We start from the raw sequence: 21,746 nt of genomic DNA on the forward strand, positions 1-21,746 counted from the left end.
TGCAGGAGATGTGGCAATGATTAAGTAATGGAAGCAGGAATTGGGCAAGTATTCATGGTAGAAGTCTTAGGATAGGTGATCGACAGTGAGGACAGCAGAGCAGACATGGACAAAACAAGCCAGATAGGTCAGTAGTTGTGTCAAGCAATAGAATTCGTCTCTCTGTCCATGGAGACCGAGGCACGGACTTTGGTGGCCATACCTTTAGTCTTTGATGTAGACAATGAAAGATGGAAAAGAGAAGCCAATGTTCCACGACACCGGGTACAGCAATTGCCCTCTGCACAGTCGAATCAGAAAATACTTGAGCACGAGCCTGTTTTTCATTAGGAGATCGCAGTATTCTCAAATATTATAGTCAGCATGATGTGTTTACTGTAGACAGATAAACTCCTATTCAACTGATAGTCCAGTCAAAATTTTATTTCTCCCTGAAAAACCTAATACAGTGTGTAATTCAGTCAGTTTTTCACAGTTCTAAAAACAAAGTTAATTTTCCTGTAGTCTTTTCAACATCACCACAAACAATGTGACCTCTAAGCTTTGACAAAGGACTTCTGACTAGAAAGCAAGGTTTGGGGCAATCGTTTATTTGTTTGTCTTGCATGTATATGATTGATCTTTTGATAGATAAAAGTTGATCTTTTCAATAGAAAGAAGAGTCAGTGGATGATAAATGGAATCAAACAACTTTCAAGAAGTCTGTCCCCATGAGCATGTACCTGGTGTGCTTTGCTGTACATCAATTTCATACTGTAAAGACAATATCAGATATTGGAAAACCTGTGAGTCTCATTATATTTTAAAAATTTACCACCAATGCATTTGTAATTAATTTTCTACTTTTTTTTTTTTTTTGAGACAGAGTCTTGCTCTGTCACCCAGGCTGGAGTGCAGTGGCACAATCTCGGCTCACTGCAAGCTCCGCCTACCAGATTCAGGCCATTCTCCTGCCTCAGCCTCCAGAGTAACTGGGACTACAGGCGCCCACCACTGCGCCTGGCTAATTTTTTGTGTTTTTAGTAGAGACAGGGTTTCACTGTGTTAGACAGGATGGTCTCAATCTCTTGTCCTCGTGATCCACACTCCTCGACCTCCCAAAGTGCTGGGATTACAGGCATGAGCCACTGCACCTGGCCAATTTTCTACTTTTTTTGAGTCGTGTTTTTGTTGTTTTTTTGTTTTTTTTTTCAAACAACATGCCAGAAAAGCCCAAAAGTCCTCAGGGTCTGTGAACTTGATAATACATAGAACAATATAGAAAAATGGCTGAAAGGACACAGATAAAAAATAAACCAACACAACAGACATAGATACTTATGGCCTTAAATTATTTCAAGGGAAAAATTTGCTATAAGTCAAAAGCTAGCTCCTACGTATATCAGCACAAATATATTAAAATGTTTGGGTATGCCCAATGTAATAAAATGGTTGAGTATATGTGTACCTCTCCCAGATATAGACTAGAGAGAGAAGAGGAAACCTGAGGTAAAGGAATATCCTTCGAATGATGAGGCAGTGAGAAGTTTATGGCTCCATTCCTATATGTAATCAAAATAGGATAGCAACAAAGTATCCAAAAGCATTTTTTAAAAGCATGATAAAATATAAATAAGCATTTTTTAAAATATTAAGATGACTAGTTCAATAGTTTTCTTTGTTTCTTTTTGTTGTTGTTGTTTGTTTGTTTGTCTGTTTTTTCAGACAGTCTCGCTCTGTCACCCAGGCTGGAGTGCAGTGGTGCGATCTCAGCTCACTGCAACCTCTGCCTCATAGGTTCAAGTGATTCTCTTGCCTCAGCCTCCTGAGTAGCTGGGATTAAAGGCACCTGCCACTGAGCCTGGCTAATTTTTCTATTTTTAGTAGAGACGGGGTTTCTCCATGTTGACTAGGCTGGTCTTGAACTCCTGACCTCAGGTGATCCACCTACCTTGGCCTCCCAAAGTGCTAGGATTACAGGCATCAGCCACCATGCCCAGCCTCATTAGGGGCTTCTTCTTAAAGTTGTCTTCTGTGCTTTTTTTTCCCCTGTGGTAATGGGAAAATTTTTTTTTTTGTATTTTGGGTAGAGAGAGGGTTTCACCATGTTGTCCAGCCTGGTCTCAAACTCCTGACCTCAAGTGATCCACCCACCTCAGCTTCCCAAAGTGCTCAGATCACAGGAGTAAACCACTGTGCCAGGCCTTAATCAGCAATTTTTATTTTATTTATTTTACTTTTTTTTTAAGAAGCAGAGTCTCATTTTGTTGCCCAGGCTTGAGTGCAGTGGCACAATGTTAGCTCATGCAGCCTCTAACTCCTGGGCTCAAGTGATGCTCCCACCTTAGCCTCTGGAGTAGCTGGGACTACAGATGCATGCCACCATTCTTGACTAATTTTTTAAAGTTTTCATACAGACAGGGTCTCCCTATGTTTCCCAGGCTGGTCTTGAATTCCTGGCTTCAAGTGATCCTCTTGCCTCAACCTCCCAAAGTGCTGGCATTACAGGCAGTGCGCCTAGCCTTTTGTACTCTGTTGAGGTGCTCTCTCATTCTACATTTTCTTGAACATTGCCTTACTTTCTGCCATCATAAAATGTTCCGGGCTCATATTATTACTTTTCTTGCCCCAGTCCTGGAATCAACCATTTTCCCAAGAAGCACTGGGTTTGTTTTGTTTTTGTTTTTGTTTTTGTTTTTTGGACAATGGCACATAGAAAACAAGATCTGAATGCTAGGTATATAAAAAGCATTTTGTAACACATTGTGGAAAATAGAGAAAAAAATCAGATGAGGGCAGTGTGTGCTCTAAGTTGAGCACAGTGTACTCACTAGACACCCAGTAAGTGTTTGATGTTAGTGTGGCTACACTTGTAACCAGATATAGTCAATGACAAAAATGCTTCGTCTAGACAGTATGGGTAAGGTGACCCACTAGCTCTGCTTACCAGGTATTGAGGAGTTTCTCGGGACACTGGACTTTCAGTATGAAAACCAGGAAAGTCCCAGGCAACCTGGGATGAGCTGGTCACCCTAATATGGAATAGGGTCGGCGAGGAAGGGAAGGAATCAATGTTGGCTGCAATCAGCAGAGGAGCCTTCTGGAGGGTGGGAAGCATAGCTTGTGTGGCTCTCTGAGACATCAGGAGTTGCTAAGAATCCCTTTCTCTGCTCCTTAGGCATCTCAGATGCTGTCATCCTCCATGAGTAGCATTTGCAGCATGGATCTCATCCATAGTTTCTGATTCTCTGCCCTATCCTCACTGAGCTGTAAATAATAACTTTGGACCATTCAACACTGCTCAGATAAGCTGTGATGGGAAACATGGTCTGTGTCAATGGAGCACGTGGTTCTGCCAGTGACTGCCTGTTGGAGCAGGCCGTGGGAAGTCCAGATGTACAATTACTACTGGGCTTCCAACAGCATCCCATCCGGGGTTTACAGAAATGCAACTAAATCAACAAAGGTTTTGTTTCAAGCATTACTGTCCACAGCTGCTGTGGCATCTCAGTTTTTTCTATCAAATATTTTCCACAAGGGCTGAGTGGGAGGCTGAAGGATCAGAGGAAGAAAGGTTTAGAGATGAATGCACCTTAGGCTTGAGCAGAAAGTCAGTCAAACACCTTGTTAAATCCCCTGCCTTTATACACAATTATATTATGGCCCCATTCTGAAGATTCAGAAACTGAGGCTTCAGAACCATTCATGGTTATGCCCAAGCTGCAGCATGATACGTGCTAGGGAAGAGAGGAGAGAACTATTTCCTCTAAGACTAGCGCTCATTTTCCAACACTAACGCTTCCTCAATTATGTTCCTAAAACTCACATAATGTGCATAATGAGAAAGTACTCATTAAAAAAATAGTTTACTGAATCTAGATTTCCCCATCTTATTTGCACATGAAGCTCTTTCTTCACCAAATTCCTATTATGAGACCACAGAGAGCTGAGTCTAAGAAAATCATCACGGGTGGGGAACTTGAGGTTTTTTTTAAAAAAAGAAGTGAAAAATCATGGACGTTGTAGAAGTACTATAATACTGTAACTGCTAATGAGGGGATTGTTTGGGTTGATAACTCTACTGGACTGATACAACGTAAAGGCATTTTGGTTTTTTTTTTCTTTTTTTATTATACTTTAAGTTTTAGGGTACTTGTTCACAACGTGTAGGTTAGTTACATATGTATACATGTGCCATGCTGGTGTGCTGCACAAAGTAACTCCTCATTTAACATTAGGTATATCTCCTAATGCTATCCCTCCCCCCTCCCCCAACCCCACAACAGACCCCAGAGTGTGATGTTCCCCTTCCTGTGTCCATGTGGTCTCATTTTTCAATTCCCACCTATGAGTGAGAACATGCGTTGTTTGGTTTTTTGTCCTTGGATAGTTTGCTGAGAATGATGGTTTCCAGCTTCATCCATGTCCCTACAAACGACATGAACTCATCATTTTTTATGGCTGCATAGTATTCCATGGTGTATATGTGCCACATTTTCTTAATCCAGTCTATCGTGGTTGGACATTTGGGTTGGTTCCAAGCCTTTGCTATTGTGAATAATGCCGCAATAAACATACGTGTGCATGTGTCTTTATAGCAGCATGATTTATAATCCTTTGGGTATATACCCAGTAATGAGATTGCTGGATCAAATGATATTTCTAGTTCTAGATCCCTGAGGAGTCACCACACTGACTTCCACAATGGTTGAACTAGTTTACAGTCCCACCAACAGTGTAAAAGTGTTCCCATTTCTCCACATCCTCTCCAGCACCGGTTGTTTCCTGACTTTTTAATGATTGCCACTCTAACTGGTGTGAGAAGGTATTTCACTGTGGTTTTGTATTGCATTTCTCTGATGGCCAGTGATGGTGAGCATTTTTTCATGTGTCTTTGGGCTGCATAAATGTCTTCTTTTGAGGAGTGTCTGTTCCTATCCTTCACCCACTTTTTGATGGGGTTGTTGGTTTTTTTCTTGTAAATTTGTTTGAGTTCATTGTAGATTCTGGATATTAGCCCTTTGTCAGATGGGTAGATTGCAAAAATTTTCTCCCATTCTGCAGGTTGCCTATTCACTCTGATGGTAGTTTCGTTTGCTGTGCAGAAGCTCTTTAGTTTAATTAGATCCCATTTGTCAATTTTGGCTTTGGTTGCTATTGCTTTTGGTGATTTAGACATGAAGTCCTTGCCTATGCCTATGTCCTGAATGGTATTGCCTAGGTTTTCTTCTAGGGTTTTTATGGTTTTAAATCTAACATGTAAGTCTTTAATCCATCTTAAATTAATTTTTGTATAAGGTGTAAGGAAGGGATCCAGTTTCAGCTTTCTACATATGGCTAGCCAGTTTTCCCAGCACCATTTATTAAATAGGGAATCCTTTCCCCATTTCTTGTTTTTGTCAGGTTTGTCAAAGTTCAGATGGTTGTAGATATGCAGCATTATTTCTGCGGTCTCTATTCTGTTCCATTGGTCTATATCTCTGTTTTGTTACCAGTACCATGCTGTTTTGGTTACTGTAGCCTTGTAGTATAGTTTGAAGTCAGGTAGCGTGATGTCTCCAGCTTTGTTCTTTTGGCTTAGGATTGACTTGGCAATGTGGGCTCTTTTTTGGTTCCATATGAACTTTAAAGTAGTTTTTCTCCAATTCTGTGAAGAAAGTCATTGGTAGCTTGATGGGGATGGCATTGAACCTATAAATTACCTTAGGCAGTATGGCCATTTTCATGATATTGATTCTTCCTACCCATGAGCATGGAATGATCTTCCAGTTGTTTCTATCCTCTTTTACTTCATTGAGCAGTGATTTGTGGTTCTCCTTGAAGAGGTCCTTCACGTCCCTTGTAAGTTGGATTCCTTGGTATTTTATTCTCTTTGAAGCAATTGTGAATGGGAGTTCACTCATGATTTGGCTCTCTGTCTGTTATTGGTGTATAAGAATGCTTGTGATTTTTGCACATTGATTTTGTATCTTGAGACTTTGCTGAAATTGCCTATCAGCTTAAGGAGATTTTGGGCTGTGATGATGGGGTTTTCTAGATATACAATCATGTCATCTGCAAACAGGAACAATTTGACTTCCTCTTTTCCTAATTGAATACCATTTATTTCCTTCTCCTTCCTGATTGCCCTGGCCAGAATTTCCAACACTCTGTTGAATAGGAGTGGAGAGAGAGGGCATCCCTGTCTTGTGCCAGTTTTCAAAGGGAATGCTTCCAGTTTTTGCCCATTCAGTATGATATTGGCTGTGGGTTTTTTATAGATAGCTCTTATTATTTTGAGATACGTCCCATCAATACTTAATTTATTGAGAGTTTTTAGCATGAAGTGTTGTTGAATTTTGTCAAAGGCCTTTTCTGCATCTATTGAGATAATCATGTGGTTTTTGTCATTGGTTCTGTTTATATGCTGGAGTACGTTTATTGATTTGGGTATGTTGAGCCAGCCTTGCATCTGAGGGATGAAGCCCACTTGATCATGCTGGATAAGCTGGATTCAGCTTATGTGCTGCTGAATTCAGTTTGCCAGTATTTTATTGAGGATTATTACATCGATCTTCATCAGGGATATTGGTCTAAAATTCTCTTTTTTTGTTGTGTCTCTGCTAGGCTTTGGTATCAGGATGATGCTGGCATCATAAAATGAGTTAGGGAGGATTCCCTCTTTTTCTATTGATTGGAATCATTTCAGAAGGAATGATACCAGCTCCTCCTTGTACTTCTGGTAGAATTTGGCTGTGAATCCAACTGGTCCTGGATGTTTTTTGGTTGGTAAGCTATTAATTATTGCCTCAATTTCAGAGCCTGTTATTGGTCTATTCAGAGATTCAACTTCTTCCTGGTTTAGTCTTGGGAGGGTGTATGCGTCCAGGAATTTATCCATTTCTTCTAGATTTTCTAGTTTATTTGCATAGAGGTGTTTATAGTATTCTCTGACGGTAGTTTGTATTTCTGTGGGATTGGTGGTGATATCCCTTTTATCATTTTTTATTGCATCTATTTGATTCTTCTCTCTCTTCTTCTTTATTAGTCATGCTGGTGGTCTATCGATTTTGTTGATCTTTTCAAAAAACCAGCTCCTGGATTCATTGATTTTTTGAAGGGTTTTTGTGTTGCTATTTCCTTCAGTTCTGCTCTGATCTTACTTATTTCTTGCCTTCTGCTAGCTTTTGAATGTGTTTGCTCTTGCTCCTCTAGTTCTTTTAATTGTGATGTTAGGGTGTCAATTTTTTATCTTTCCTGCTTTCTCTTGTGGGCCTTTAGTGCTATAAATTTTCCTCTACACACTGCTTTAAATGTGTCCCCCACATTTAAATATGTCCCAGAGATTCTGGTATGTTGTATCTTTGTTCTCGTTGGTGTCAAAGAACATCTTTATTTCTGCCTTCATTTCATTATGTATCCAGTAGTCATTCAGGAGCAGGTTGTTCAGTTTCCATGTACTTGAGTGGTTTTGAGTGAGTTTCTTAATCCTGAGTTCTAGTTTGATTCCACTATGGTCTGAGAGACAGTTTGTTATAATTTCTGTTCTTTCACATTTGCTGAGGAGTGCTTTACTTCCAACCATGTGGTCAATTTTGGAATAAGTGCGATGTGGTGCTGAGAAGAATGTCTATTCTGTTGATTTGCGGTGAAGAGTTCTGTAGATGTCTACTAGGTCCACTTGGTGCAGAGCTGAGTTCAATTCCTGGATTTCCTTGTTAACTTTCTGTTTCGTGGATCTGTCTAATGTTGACAGTGGGGTGTTATAGTCTCCCATTAATATTGTGTCAGAGTCTAAGTCTCTTTCTAGGTCTCTAAGGACTTGCTTTATGAATCTGGGTGCTCCTGTATTGGGTGCATATATATTTAGATAGTTACCTCTTCTTGTTGAATTGATTCCTTTGCCATTATGTAATGGCCTTCTTTGTCTCTTTTGATATTTGTTGGTTTAAAGTCTGTTTTATCAGAGACTAGGATTGCAACACCTGCCTTTTTTAGATTTCCATTTGCTTGGTAGATCTTCTTCCATCCCTTTATTTTGAGCCTATGTGTGTCTCTACATGTGAGATGGGTTTCCTGAATACAGCAGACTGATGGGTCTTGACTCTTTATCTAATTTGCCAGCCTGTGTCTTTTAATAGGAGCATCTAGCCCATTTACATTTAAGGTTAATATTGTTATGTGTGAATTTCATCCTGTCATTATGATGTTAGCTGGTTATTTTGCTCATTAGTTCATGCAGTTTCTTCCTAGCCTTGATGGTCTTTACAATTTGGCATGTTCTTGCAGTGGCTGGTACTGGTTGTTCCTTTCCATGTTTAGTACTTCCTTTAGGAGCTCTTTTAGGGCGGGCCTGGTAGTGACAAAATCTCTCAGCATTTGCTTGTCTGTAAAGGATTTTATTTCTCCTTCACTTATGAAGCTTATTTTGGCTGGATATGAAATTCTGGGTTGAAAATTCTTTTCTTTAAGAATGTTGAATATTGGTCCCCACTCTCTTCTGGCTTGTAGGGTTTCTGCCAAGAGATCAGCTCTTAGTCTGATGGGCTTCCCTTTGTGGGTAACCCGACCTTTCTCTCTGGCTGCCCTTAACATTTTTTCCTCCATTTCAACTTTGGTGAATCTGATAATTACATGTCTTGGAGTTGCTCTTCTTGAGGAATATCTCTGTGGTATTCTCTGTATTTCCTGCATTTGAATGTTGGCCTGCCTTGATAGATTGGGGAAGTTCTCCTGGATAATTTCCTGCAGAGTGTTTTCCAACTTGGTTCCATTCTCCCTGTCACTTTCAGATACACCAATCAGACGTAGATTTGGTCTTTTCACATAGTCCCATATTTCTTGGAGGCTTTGTTCATTTCTTTTTATTCTTTTTTCTCTAAACTTCTCTTCTCACTTCATTTCATTCATTTTATCTTCCATCATTGATACCCTTTCTTCCAGTTGATCCAATCGGCTACTGAGGCTTGTGCATTCATCACGTAGTTCTTTTGCCTTGGTTTTCAGCTCCACCACATCCTTTAAGGACTTCTCTGCATTGGTTATTCTAGTTAGCCATTAGTCTAATTTTTTTCCAAGGTTTTTTACTTCTTTGCCTTTGGTTCAATCTTCCTCCTTTAGCTCGGAGTAGTTTGTTCATCTGAAGCCTTCTCTCAATTCGTCATAGTTGTTCTCCGTCCAGCTTTGTTCTGTTGCTGATGAGGAGCTGCATTCCTTTGGAGGAGGAGAGGTGTTCTGATTCTTAGTTTCCAGTTTTTCTGCTCTGTTTTTTCCCCATCTTTGTGGTTTTATCTACCTTTGGTCTTTGATGATGGTGACGTACAGATGGGTTTTTTATGTGGATGTCCTTTCTGTTTGTTAGTTTTCCTTCTAACAGACAGGACCCTCAGCTGCAGGTATGTTGGAGTTTGCTGGTGGTCCACTGCAGACCCTGTTTGCCTAGGTATCAGTAGCAGAGGCTGCAGAACAGCAGATACTGGTGAGTAGCAAATGTTGCTGCCTGAGCATTCCTCTGGAAGTTTTGTGTTAGAGGAGTACCTGGCCATGTGAGGTGTCCGTCTGCCCCTACTGGGGGGTGCCTCCCAGTTAGGCTACTCAGGGGTCAGGGACCCACTTGTGGAGGCATTCTGTCTGTTCTCAGATCTCCAGCTGCATCCTGGGAAAACCACTACTCTCTTCAAAGCTGTCAAACAAGGACATTTAAGTCTTCAGAGGATTCTGCTGCCTTTTGTTTGGCTATTCCCTGCCCCCAGAGGTGGAGTCTACAGAGGCAGGCAGGCCTCCTTGAGCTGCAGTGGGCTCCACCCAGTTCGAGCTTCCCAGCTGCTTTGTTTACCTACTCAAGCCTTGGAAATTGTGGGTGCCCCACCCCCATCCTCACTGCCACCTTGCAGTTTGATCTCAGACTGCTGTGCTAGCCATGAGTGAGGCTTCACGGGCATAGGACCCTCCGAGCCATGCACGGGATATAATCTTCTGGTGTGCCGTTTGCTAAGACCATTGGAAAAGTGCAGTATTAGGGTGGGAGTGACCCGATTTTCCAGGTGCCATCTGTCAGCCCTTTCTTTGACTAGGAAAGGGAATTTGCTGACCCCTTGCACTTCCTGGGTGAGGTGATGCCTCGCCCTGCTTTGACTAACACTGGGTGCACTGAACCCACTGTCCTGCACCCACTTTCTGACACTCCCCAGTGAGATGAACCCGGTACCTCATTTGGAAATGAAGAAATTACCCGTCTTCTGTGTCGCTCATGCTGGGAGCTGTAGACTGGAGCTGTTACTATTTGGCCATCTTGGCTCCATACCCATAATGGCATTTTGATTGGCTGAGACATGGTTTACTTTAGACTACAAAGTACTGTCCCTTTCTTTCAATGTGGCTGTTTCAGTGGTATTTGTTTCAATCCTATTTTTTCAGCCAGTGGGTGAAGGACAGCACAGAAGTCATATAAAGGCTTTCATTAAGAGATTTTGGGCTTGGTGCATTGTAATCCCAGGACTTTGGGAGGCCTAGGTAGGTGGATTGCTTGATCTCAGACGTTTGAGACCAGACTGGGCAACATGGTGAAAACCTGTCTCTACAAAAAAAAAAAAATGCAGAAATGAACCAGGCATGGTGGTGTGTGCCTGTATTCCCTGCTACTCAGGAGGTTAAGGTGGGAGGGTAGCTTGAGTCTGGGAGGTTGAGGCTGCAGTGAGCCATCATCATGCCACTGCACTCCAGCGTGGGCAACATAGCGAGACCCTGTCTCAAAAAAAGAGAGATTTTTAGAGACTCTGAGCACACACAGTGTTACTTTGGGGTCCAGGTGATCCCAAAGTGTGTGAAGCAGAGTCACTCAGAGAGCCAATCTCCTCATCCTGACACAGTCTTTAGTGCAGGGCTGACACTTTGAGAACTTGTAGTTGTGGAAGCATTAGGAGATAGCACCTCTGACAAATACCTTGACGCTTCTGTACAAGGAGCTCCTGCCTATAAGTGATAAAAAGAGAGCAACCCCATTTTTTAAAAAAGAGAAGATTTGCTATGAAAAGGATGTTTGTAGAATGGGAAGCCACCAAGATTTTGACCACAAAATGAGAGCCCAAGGTTCCTGGTAATTAGAAATAAGACAAATGCAAATTCAAACCACAGTGAGCTACTTCTTCATGCCTACTGGACTAGGTGACAATTAGATAGCTGGTGGGGCTGTGGGAGGCCACATGCTCTGTTGGTGGGTGGGTGGACTGGTACAGACATTGTGATGTTACTCATGCAAATTATATATATGCATATACATGCCTCAGAAATTCCTTGACTGGTATCTATCTCAGGGTCCATAATGGGACTTGTACAAGGAAGTTTTTTGCATTATGGTTTATGGTGGGGAAGTTGGAGGATTCCTGGGAATTCATTACTAGAAGTGGAGAGGTCAGGATAGGCAGGGGTCATATAGTTTGGATACTTGTCCCTTCCAAATCTCCTGTTGAAATATGATCCCCAATGTTAGAGGCGGGGCCTGGTGGGAGGTGATTGGATCATGTATAAGTTCATTCTCACACTGCCATAAAGATACTAGCCGAGACTGGGTAATTTGTAAATAAAAGAGGTTTAATTGGCTCACAGTTCAGCATGGCTGGGGATGCCTCAGGAAACGTACAATCATGGCAGAAGGGGAAGCATGCTCCTTCTTCACAAGGTGGCAGAAAAGAGTGTGAGCGTAAGAGAAACTTGCCAAACACTTATAAAACCATCAGATCTCATGAAAACTCACTCACTGTCATGAGAACAGCATGGGGAAAACCACCCTGATGATCTTATCACCTCCCACAAGGTCTCTTTCCTCAACATCTGGGGATTACAATTCAAGAGGAGATTTGGGTGGGGACACAAAGCCTAACCATATCAGATCATGAGTGTGGATCCCTCATGAATGGCTTAGCGCCATTCTTTGGTGATAAGTGAGCTCTCACTCAGTTAGTTCATGTGAGACCTGATCGTTTAACAGAGTTTGGAAACTCCCTCTTCTCCCTCACTTGCTCTCTCTCTTGCCACGTGTTATGCCAGCTCTCTCTATATCTTCTGCCATGTTTGGTATCTTCTTGATGCCTCTCCAGGAGCAGATGCTGGTGCCATGCTTCTTGTATGGTCCATAGAACCATGAGACAAATAAACCTATTTTCTTTTTAAATTATCCAGCCCCAGGTATTTCTTTAAACAACACAATAAAAGACTAACACAAGGGGTAATATTCAGCTGATAGGCATGATACAGCCACACGGGTTGTTGAAATAGTGAAACAGTGTCCTCATGTCATGTGGGTTGATAACTAGCTGCTTCCCAGCCTACTAAATGCCTCTCCATCTTCCCTGCAAACCTACCCTAACCTTTCCTGCTGCAGCAATTTAAGATTAAATTCTGAATTTCAGGAGCCTGTGGGATCCAGCTCCAGCCCAGCATTGAGGCAACCTCCTCATTAGGTCATGCCTATGTTGTTCAAGGGTTAAATATTTTGTACATTAAAAGTGTGGAGGGGTCAGCCACAATAAATTTATACCATGGGCTACTAGGCAGTAGTTAGGAGCAATGGCTGTAGATACAAGCTTATATCTTAAAAAAAAACTAGTTCTTATGCAAGTGAATTGTTCTATATCAATGTCATTTACAGAAATTAAAAATTGCATGCACACAAAACTAAAATGTGCATTTTGTAAGAACACATTCAAAAGGTGAGACACACAAATGATACATTAAATGATTGTTTAGGGAAGAAAAGAGAACTGGAGTGAGTTGTGGCAATTAAAGGTGCACAACAATGTAATGTGCACCTTCATAGCCCCTTTCTCTGTTTTCAAATCCAGGAACATTGCATCTCTCTCACCATTCTCCCATAATCACCCCTCCCTCTCTGACTTTTTTTTTTTCAGATGGGGTCTTGCTCTGTTGCCCAAGCTGGAGTGCAGTGATGCCCAAATCCTAATCCCCAGAACGTGTGAATATGTTATCTTACATGGACAAAATGATTTTTCAGATGTGATCAAGGTTAAAGACTTTGAGATGAGGGTATCATCTCAGATTATCCAGGTGGGATATTATCCATAGCTCACTGTAGCCTCAACCCCTGTGCTCAAGTGATCCTCCCTTTTCAGCCTCCCAAGTAGCTAGGAACTACAGACATGCACCATGATGCCTGGTGAATTTTTAAATTTTTCTTTCGTAGAGACAGTCTTGCTATGTTGCCCAGGCTGCTTTCAATCTCTTAGGCTGAAGCGATCCTCCTGCCTCAGCTTCTCAAAGTTCTGGGATTACAAGCATGAGTCACTGTGCCCAGCCTCTCTCTCTGACTCTGACCTCAGCTGGAAAAGTTTCTTTTAAGGACTCATGTGATTAGGTTGAGCCCACCTGGATAATCTGAGATGATACCCTCATCTCAAAGTCCTTAACCTTAATCACATCTGCAAAATACTTTTGTCCATGTAAGATAACATATTCACATGTTCTGGGGATTAGGATTTGGGCATCTTTAGGGGACCATTATTCTGCCCACCAAAGAGATGAACAGAAATATTTTGGGGTGAAATGATGCCAAAGGAGAAACCAGGGTAGAAAAGAAGGGAATTTGCCACTGATTTGGTGTCCATGTGATGTCTAGTCCAAACATTGATGAAGTCTGCCAATATTTGAGCTGCACTTAGAATAGAGTCATTTGCAGAAGATCAAAAAAGATCTTCTTAACCGGGTATGGTGGCAGATGCCTGTAATCCCAGCTAGGGAGGTTGGAGTGAGCTGAGATCACACCACTGCACTCCAGCCTGGGCAACGGAGTATGACTCTGTCTCAGACACAGACACACACACGCACACACACACACACACACACACAAATAACCCCTGCCACCAAAACCACTATACAAACATATATTCAGTCATATGCCACATAATGACACTTGGATCAGTGATGAACTCTATGACAGTGCTCCCATGAAATTATAATAATGCATTTTTGCTGTTTCTTTTCTATGTTTAGATACACAAACGCCATTGTGTTACAGTTGCCTACAGAATTCAGTACAGTCATATGCCAAATAGATTTGTAGCCAAGGAGCAGTGGGCTCTACCATATGGCCTAGGTGTGTGGTCGGCCCTACCATCTAGCCTTGTGTAAGCTCACTCTATGATGTTCACACAATGATGGAATTGCTGAACAAAGCATTTGTCAGAAAATATCTCTATTTTTAAGTGATGAATGACTGCAGTGTGATTAAAGCAAGACTCCAAAATAAATTCTTAGCTTTGAATATTTTGTAATAAAATAAAAAGGTGAAAATAAACAAAATGAAGCATTCTAACTAAAATTTAAAAATAAAGAAAATAATTATAGTGTCTACTTAAACAACATGAAACCATGAAACCTAGCAATAAATGTATTTTAGAAGAGATTAATAGCATAACTAAAATACTAGCTATTTAGTATAAAATATTATACTAAATATAAAATTAAATAATATTATTAATATTAATTAGTAAATAAATAGTAATATTAAATAAAATACTAAAATACCTGGGGCTGGGGGTGGTGGCTCACACCTGTAATCTCAGCACTTCAGGAGGCAGAGGTGGGTGGATCACTTGAAGTCAAGAGTTTGAGACCAGCCTGGCCAACATGGTGAAATCTCTACTAAAAATACAAAAGTTAGCCTAGCCTGGTGGTGCACACCTGTAATCCCAGCTACTTGGGTGGCTGAGGCAGGAGAATTGCTTGAACTCGGGAGGCAGAGGTTGCAGTAAGCAGAGATCATGCCACTGCACTCCAGCCTGGGCAACAGAGTGAGAATCCATCTAAAAAAAAAAAAAAGAAGAAGAACTAAAACACTAGCAAGATTCAAAACATGAGAGAAAAAAGGAGGTGTAACAATAGAAAATAATAATGCACTTTTAATGCATTATTATAAATGCAATTATGAGGTATACATAATTATATTATTAATGAAATATCTTAATGAGATGTATTATTTTTACATAACATAAATCGACAATGGCAAATTGATGTAAGATCAAATAAGAATTTGAAATTATACTAAGGAATGAAACAAATGAGAAATATTTAATGTGGGTGTTTTCTGCTCCCTGTCTTTACAAAAAGACAGAAAGCTATAAGATTTATCCTATAAGGTAGATGCTCCTGTTCCCAATACCCTGACCAAGATAATCAAAAGTGTTTTAGAATAATCTCACTTGTGAATACAAAACTATGTGATTAATAACAATGTCAGTAAGTAGAATTTAATGATACATTAAAATAATATAAAAGCACAAAGGGTTTGTCCCAAGTATGGAAGTGATCAATATTAAGAAAAACATTAATATATTACTATAGCTTATATTACATCTCTGAAAAATGAGTCTATAAATCAATAAATGAGTAGATATTAAAGGGTGTTTTATCAAGTCAATCCATTATTATTTTAAAGTCTTATAAAGACATATAAGAATTAGAGACTACTTCCTTAATATTATCAAGAGTATATTCTAAGCTATTAATAATAATTGACATTATGCTCCAAGGAGAAATAAACCCTCTAAGGATTTCTCTTCCAACAAATCACCTAACAAAATTCCCTTGTCTGCCTTTTCAGTTAATTCACTTTTGAAAGTTATGAGAACCGGTTTTGCGTATCTTGGCTATCAAGGAGGTTAGAGACTCAACTTTCATCTGAAAGAACACTAAGTATCTGATATAATTTGAAAGTTTGTCCCCTCCAAATCTCATGTCAAAATATGATCCCCAATGTTAGAGGTGTGTGGTCATGGAGTGGATCCTTCATGAATGGCTTGGTGCTTGCCCCAAGGTAATCAGTGAGTTCTTGCTCTGTTACTTCACTGAAGAGCAGGTTGGTTATTTATTTATTTATTTATTTATTTATTTATTTATTTATATTTCTATTTATTTATTTTGAGACAGAGTCTCACTCTGTCACCCAGGCAGGAGTGCAGTGGTGCGATCTCTGCTCCCTCCAACCTCCACTTCCTGGGTTCAAGCAATTCACCTGCCTCGACCTTATGAGTAGCTGGGGTTACAGGCGCTTGCCACCATGCCTGGCTATTTTTTTATATTTTTAGTAGAGATGGGATTTCACTGTGTTAGCCAGGATGGTCTCAATCTCCTGACCTTGTGATCCATGCACCTCGGCCCCCCAGAGTGTAGGAATTACAGGCATGAAGAGCTGGTTGTTTAAAGGAGCCTGGAACCTCCTCCTCTCTCTCTTGCTTCCTCTCTCTCCATGTGATACATTGGCTCCCCATTCACCTTCTGCCATGATTGGAAGCTTCCTGAAGTCCTCACCAGAAGCAGACACTGGCACCATTCTTCTTGTACAGCCTGGAGAACCATGAGCCAAATAAACCTCTTTTCTCTCTAAATTACCCAGTCTTGGGTATTTCTTTATAGCAATGCAAAATGGACTAACACAGTAACCTTGAGACACTAGTTCTCTTCCTGCTGCCAGGTGGGGTAGTGATTGCTTTCTCACCAGGTGCTGCTTTGGAAACACAGCACAATGAAAAGCAGAAAGCTCACTTTTACTTCTTAGGGGTTGTCTGGTCTGAACCCCACACTTTGCACGTGAGAACACTGATCTTCGGAAAGGAAAAGTGAGTTATGTAAGAGCAAACACTTACTGGCAGAGCTAGGGATGAATAATCACAATTTACAGAACACCCACCACTCACCCCTTGAACAGCCTTAGGAAAAATGTTGCACTTCCTATTACATTCTTTTTGTTGTTGTTGTTTATTTTTGAGATGGAGTCTCACTCTGTCACCCCAGCTGGAGTGCAGTGGTGTGATCTCGGTTCACTGCAAACTCTGCCTACTTGTTTCAAGCAATTCTCCTGTGTCAGCCTCCCAAGTAGCTGGGATTACAGGCACCCACCACCACACCGGGCTAATTTTTATATTTTTAGTAGAGATGGGGTTTCACCATGTTGGTCAGGCTGGTCTCGAACTCCTGACCTCAAGTGATTCACCTGCCTCACTTCCCAAAGTGCTGGGATTACGGGACCTATTACATTCTTGCAGATGAGAAGAGTGAGACTTGGAGGCATTAAACAACTGTCCTAAGATCACCCAGTAAGAAGAAGCAGAGCAGAGCAGGCAGAACACCCAGGATACGTTTGTAATTTTTATTTTTTATGACATTTCATAAAATAATGTTAAAATGTTTATGTCTCTCTTTTTTTTTTCTGAGGCAGAGTCTTGCTCTGTCACCCAGGCTGGAGTGCAGTGGCATGATCATACCTCACTGTAGCCTCGACCTCCCCTGCTCAAGCAATCCTCCCACCTCAGCCTTATGAGTAGGTGGGACTACAGGTGGGCACCACCACACCTGGCTAATTTTTTTTTTATTTTGCAGAGATAGTGGTCTCGATATGTTGCTTGGCTGGTCTCAAACTGGGTTGAAGCAATCCTCCTGCCTCGGCCTCCCAAAGTGTTGGGATTACTGGTGTGAGCCACCCATACCCAGCCTTGTATCTGTTTTAAATATTTGTTCACTATTTATTCAATGAGGCCAGGATCAGCATATCACCTGCCATGTCAAGGGCAAACCACCAAAGCAGAAGTCCAGAGCAGAGACCACATTTCTGATTTAGTATGACAGGTTGACATGGCCTGGGACCCTGTCTCAATCTGGTTCAGAGACAGAGTTTTGGATTGGAGCTCAAATTTGCTGTTTCCATAGCCTGTGTACTGGGCTATGGCACTCAGACCTCCCAATTCCTGGACAAATGTACTTTTCTTGCAAACCCCTTTCTGAAAATTGAAATGAAGATGGCATTGTTTTCCTCTCCCAGGTCATTCCAGGGGTATTTCTTGTCCACCTACATTGTGCAGAGTAATAAGCATGAGACCAGGCAGGCAGGGTCTAACCTCACCTAGAGGATAAGACCAGGCTGAAACATGCGACTGCATTTTCAGGCTGTGGTTTAACATTTGTCTCTAGAAATTCCAGCCAGGTGGGGTTAGTCTCGACTTCTCTGGCTTCTTTAGGAAGCTTTCTTTTCTGGTTCCTGATGTTTGGCTTTCTGCGGGGAGGTGCCTGTAAATTTTCTCACTGTGGATTTTGCTTTGGTTTCTGATCTTTGCTTTGGTTTCTTTCTTGCAGGAGAAGGCTTCCACTGCACTACTGGAAGAAACCATTGCTTTGGGAATTTTCTATCCTGCAGCCCTCAGCAACCCTCTGCTGGAATGCTGCCACTATGACTGCTAGAGACACTTCATGGAAGCCCACAGGACATGTCACCTTTTCTCATGGGCTCATTTCATGGGCCAGGCACGAGCTTCTGTTCATTCCACCTATGGGTTTGAAGGTCAACTCTGCAGCACCTGTTTAATCTCTAGAAAAGATGCTGATAAAACTTGGAAATGTTGTAGCTCAGGTATCTTCATTATAATTGAAGCCACCTTTGCAAAAAGTATGACAGTGAGAGAAACGTGACATAGAAAAATTATGATAGGGAAAGAAATATCACCTAACTGATTCCATCTTGCTTCTGACCTCCAAGCTGCCTTTGTTCATTCCTGGGCATAGGCCAACCTAACCATGGAGAAATTTAATTTATAGTTTGACTTTCAATCAAGGATGATAAGAGTCCCTTTCTAAAACTGACCTCCTCCTTGTCCCAGTACTGACACCACCTTTGTAAGACCCATGAAAGGCCACGGAGATTGGGATTATAGGAGGGGTCTGAATTCTGCTAAGATGTAGGCATAGTTAAATAATAACCCACCATTGTTCCATAGCTTGCTTGCTTATAATCCCTAATCACTCAGGATTCTTGAAGCCAGAGGTCACAAGATTTATGACTTCTCCAATTGCTCATATAGATAACATCACTATTGTAGAACCTAAGGGGGGCCTTTTGAGATGTTTTCCAGACTTTTGCATTCTTACAACTAACTCCATTTGGACCCATGACTCATGACTCAACCAGTCGTGTGGTCCCCACCTAAGGGCTGACTCAGCTCATGAGGACTGTTTTCCACACCCCTATGATTTTATCTCCAACCAATAAGCAGCAACCACTGCTTAGCCCCTCCCAGGCAAATTATCCATGAAAACCCTAGCTTCCAAGCTTTCAGGGAGACTGATCTGAGTAATAAACTCCTATCTCCTGCTTAGCTAGCTGTGTTTATTAAACTCTCTGTTACAATACTGCTATCTTGGTATATTGGCTGTATCTGTGCAGTAGGGGAGAAGAATCCATCAGGCAATTACATGATAACTCCTTAATATTTAATTAACAGCCATACTCATGAAACACTATTTCTAAATATTTATTCAACACAGTCCCCAGAGGACCAGTGGCATGAAACATGACACTCAAGTTCTTCAAACTGATACCTTAAACTGTCTGGGCTTTATTCACTTCCCAGATATGATGGAAATAAGTTTCATTGCTTCCTTTTAAGAAGTTGAACTTATTTCTGATTCATGCCCTAACTGCATCCAGTTTTCTCTCCTGCAGTATTTTTTGCTCAAGCCAAATGGAGCTTGTTGCATTTTATCCTCATTCACACCATGTATTTCTACACTGTCACCCCTTTGTCCAGGCCATTCCTTTTGCCTGAAATGCCCTTCTCACGGATGGATCTCTGCCTTCCCACAGTCCACTCATGCTTCAAAGTGCCTCTAAAAATAAAGATATCAAAAAGACACCTGCACTTGTATGTTTATCATAGCATTATTCACAATAGAAAAGATGTGGAATCCACCTAAGTGCCCATCAAGGGAAGATTGGATTTTAAAAATGTGTTATATAGACATCATGAAATACTACTCAGCCATTACAAAGAATGAAATAAAATCATGTCTTTTGTAGAAACACAAATGGAACTGGAGGCCATAATCCTAGGTGAAATAACTAAGGAACAGTAAGCCAAATACCACACAGTCTCACTTGTAAGTGGAGGCTAAACAATGGGTAGACATGGACATACAGAGGGAATAATAGACATTGGAGACTATGAAAGGTGGGAGGCTGGGAGGGGGTGAGGACTGAAAAAGTACCTATTGGGTACGATGTTCACTATTTGGGTGATGGGCACAGGAAAAGCCCAGACTTCACCACTCCACAATATATTCTCTAAGAAACCTGCACTTGCACCCCCTAAACACATAGAACTACAAACAAAATTTTACCCAAAACAAACAGAAAAGTACAAAATGCTTCCAAATGCCAAATGTTTTATGCTGTGCTATGGATCTGTGTGGTGTGGGGAACACATTCAAAATTCATAGTTTTCATGTCTCCCTCAGCAGGTACTTTCTGCTGGGCTCCCTCTTGTCTCTGACAACCCAGGATGCATGGAGAGTTCACACACACACATGTGTACAAATACATATATACATATTTATTGCTACATGTATACATATTTATAACTTCACATATACATATATATGTATTTTTCACATCTGTCTATATCTGTCTGCTTATCATCTATCCATCTCTGTATCCATCTATTTCTATCTATTTATCTATCTATCTCTATCCATCTATCTATCCATCTGTTTCTCTCTCCATCTATACATATTTATCTATCATCTATGTGTCCATCCATTGATCTATATCTATGTATCTATCCCTATCCATCTATCCATATATCTATCCGTACATTTTTCTTTCTCTCCATTTATACTTATCTATCTCTATCTATCTATCTATCTATCTATCATCTATCATCTATGTATCCATCTATTCATCACTGTCTGTCTATGTATCTATCATCTATCTGTCTATTCCTATTCATCTGTTTCTCTCTCCATCTATACATATCTATCTATCAACCAATCTATCTATCTATCATCTGTCTATCTAATCTGGCTATCTATCTATTCCTATCCATCTGTTTCTCTCTCTCCATCTATACATACCTATCTATCTACCTATCTATCATCTATATCTATCATCTACCTATCTATTTATCTATCTATCTCATTTACTCTTCACAGCATGGCTTTGTGTCTTTTATCTTTTATTGCTTCCAACAACACTCTGGGGTATAAACTAGTATCATCCTCATTTTCAGAAGCAGAAACTGAGATGCAGAGAGATGAAGCAACTTGTCCATTTTTTTCTTTGAGTTTATCCTATTGGAACTTTGGGACAGGATCTCTTATATTCTCCAGAGCATCTAGCACCATGCTTGCTTATTAAACAAATGAACACACATGTTAAGTAAATAAGAGAATGTCTCAGGATGCTACTGTCAGATTTTCTTCCAGGCCTATTGCCTGGTTGGGCTCATGCATGTAATGTCAGGGTTGGATATCTTGGCTGCTACGACATATTCCATTTGAGGAATAATTTAGGAGGGTGGCTGAAAGATAAAAATGTCAGTCTGGCTCCTGGTTAACGCGTGTTTCTAATTAAGCCATGATATACAGTGCTCACAGACAAATGCAGTGTGGCTCTAGTGATAACTCACCAAATACTGTGTTGTCTTCATTATCTCATTCCCTGACACTTCCCTGATGAGCTTATAAATCCCTGTGAAATCATGGCCTCCATCTCTTTAATGAGGCCTTTAAAAACTGGGAGAAAAGTATAGCAGCAGATAAGATTGGCTCGACTGTAGACCTACTTCATAAAGGTTTCTCCTCCCCCTAGTGAAACAAACACCATTTGATAGACCCAGGAGTTTAATTCCATGTGAATTGGCCAGGGCATATGATTGAGTTAATTCTTCAAGCAGCAAAAGAATATTAAAAGTAATTTCTGTCTTCTCTGACCTAGTGGGTAACAGAAATAGAAA

The 21,746-nt window shown here is 40.9% G+C and overlaps 1 long non-coding RNA gene and 1 pseudogene across 1 annotated transcript in view; both read left to right on the forward strand.

Moving 5' to 3' along the window:
• ENPEPP1 (ENPEP pseudogene 1) overlaps window positions 1-787 on the forward strand; it is a 20,546-nt pseudogene extending 19,759 nt beyond the window's left edge.
• Window positions 1-19,655, forward strand: part of LOC124902811 (uncharacterized) — a 25,053-nt gene extending 5,398 nt beyond the window's left edge. Inside the window, exon 2 of the long non-coding RNA XR_007062972.1 lies at window positions 18,097-19,655. This is a non-coding gene — a long non-coding RNA (uncharacterized LOC124902811). The remainder of the gene's footprint in view (window positions 1-18,096) is intronic.
• Window positions 19,656-21,746: the final 2,091 nt, after the last annotated feature.

This window comes from Homo sapiens, chromosome 11 (assembly GCF_000001405.40).
Source record: "Homo sapiens chromosome 11, GRCh38.p14 Primary Assembly".
NCBI lineage: Eukaryota > Metazoa > Chordata > Mammalia > Primates > Hominidae > Homo > Homo sapiens.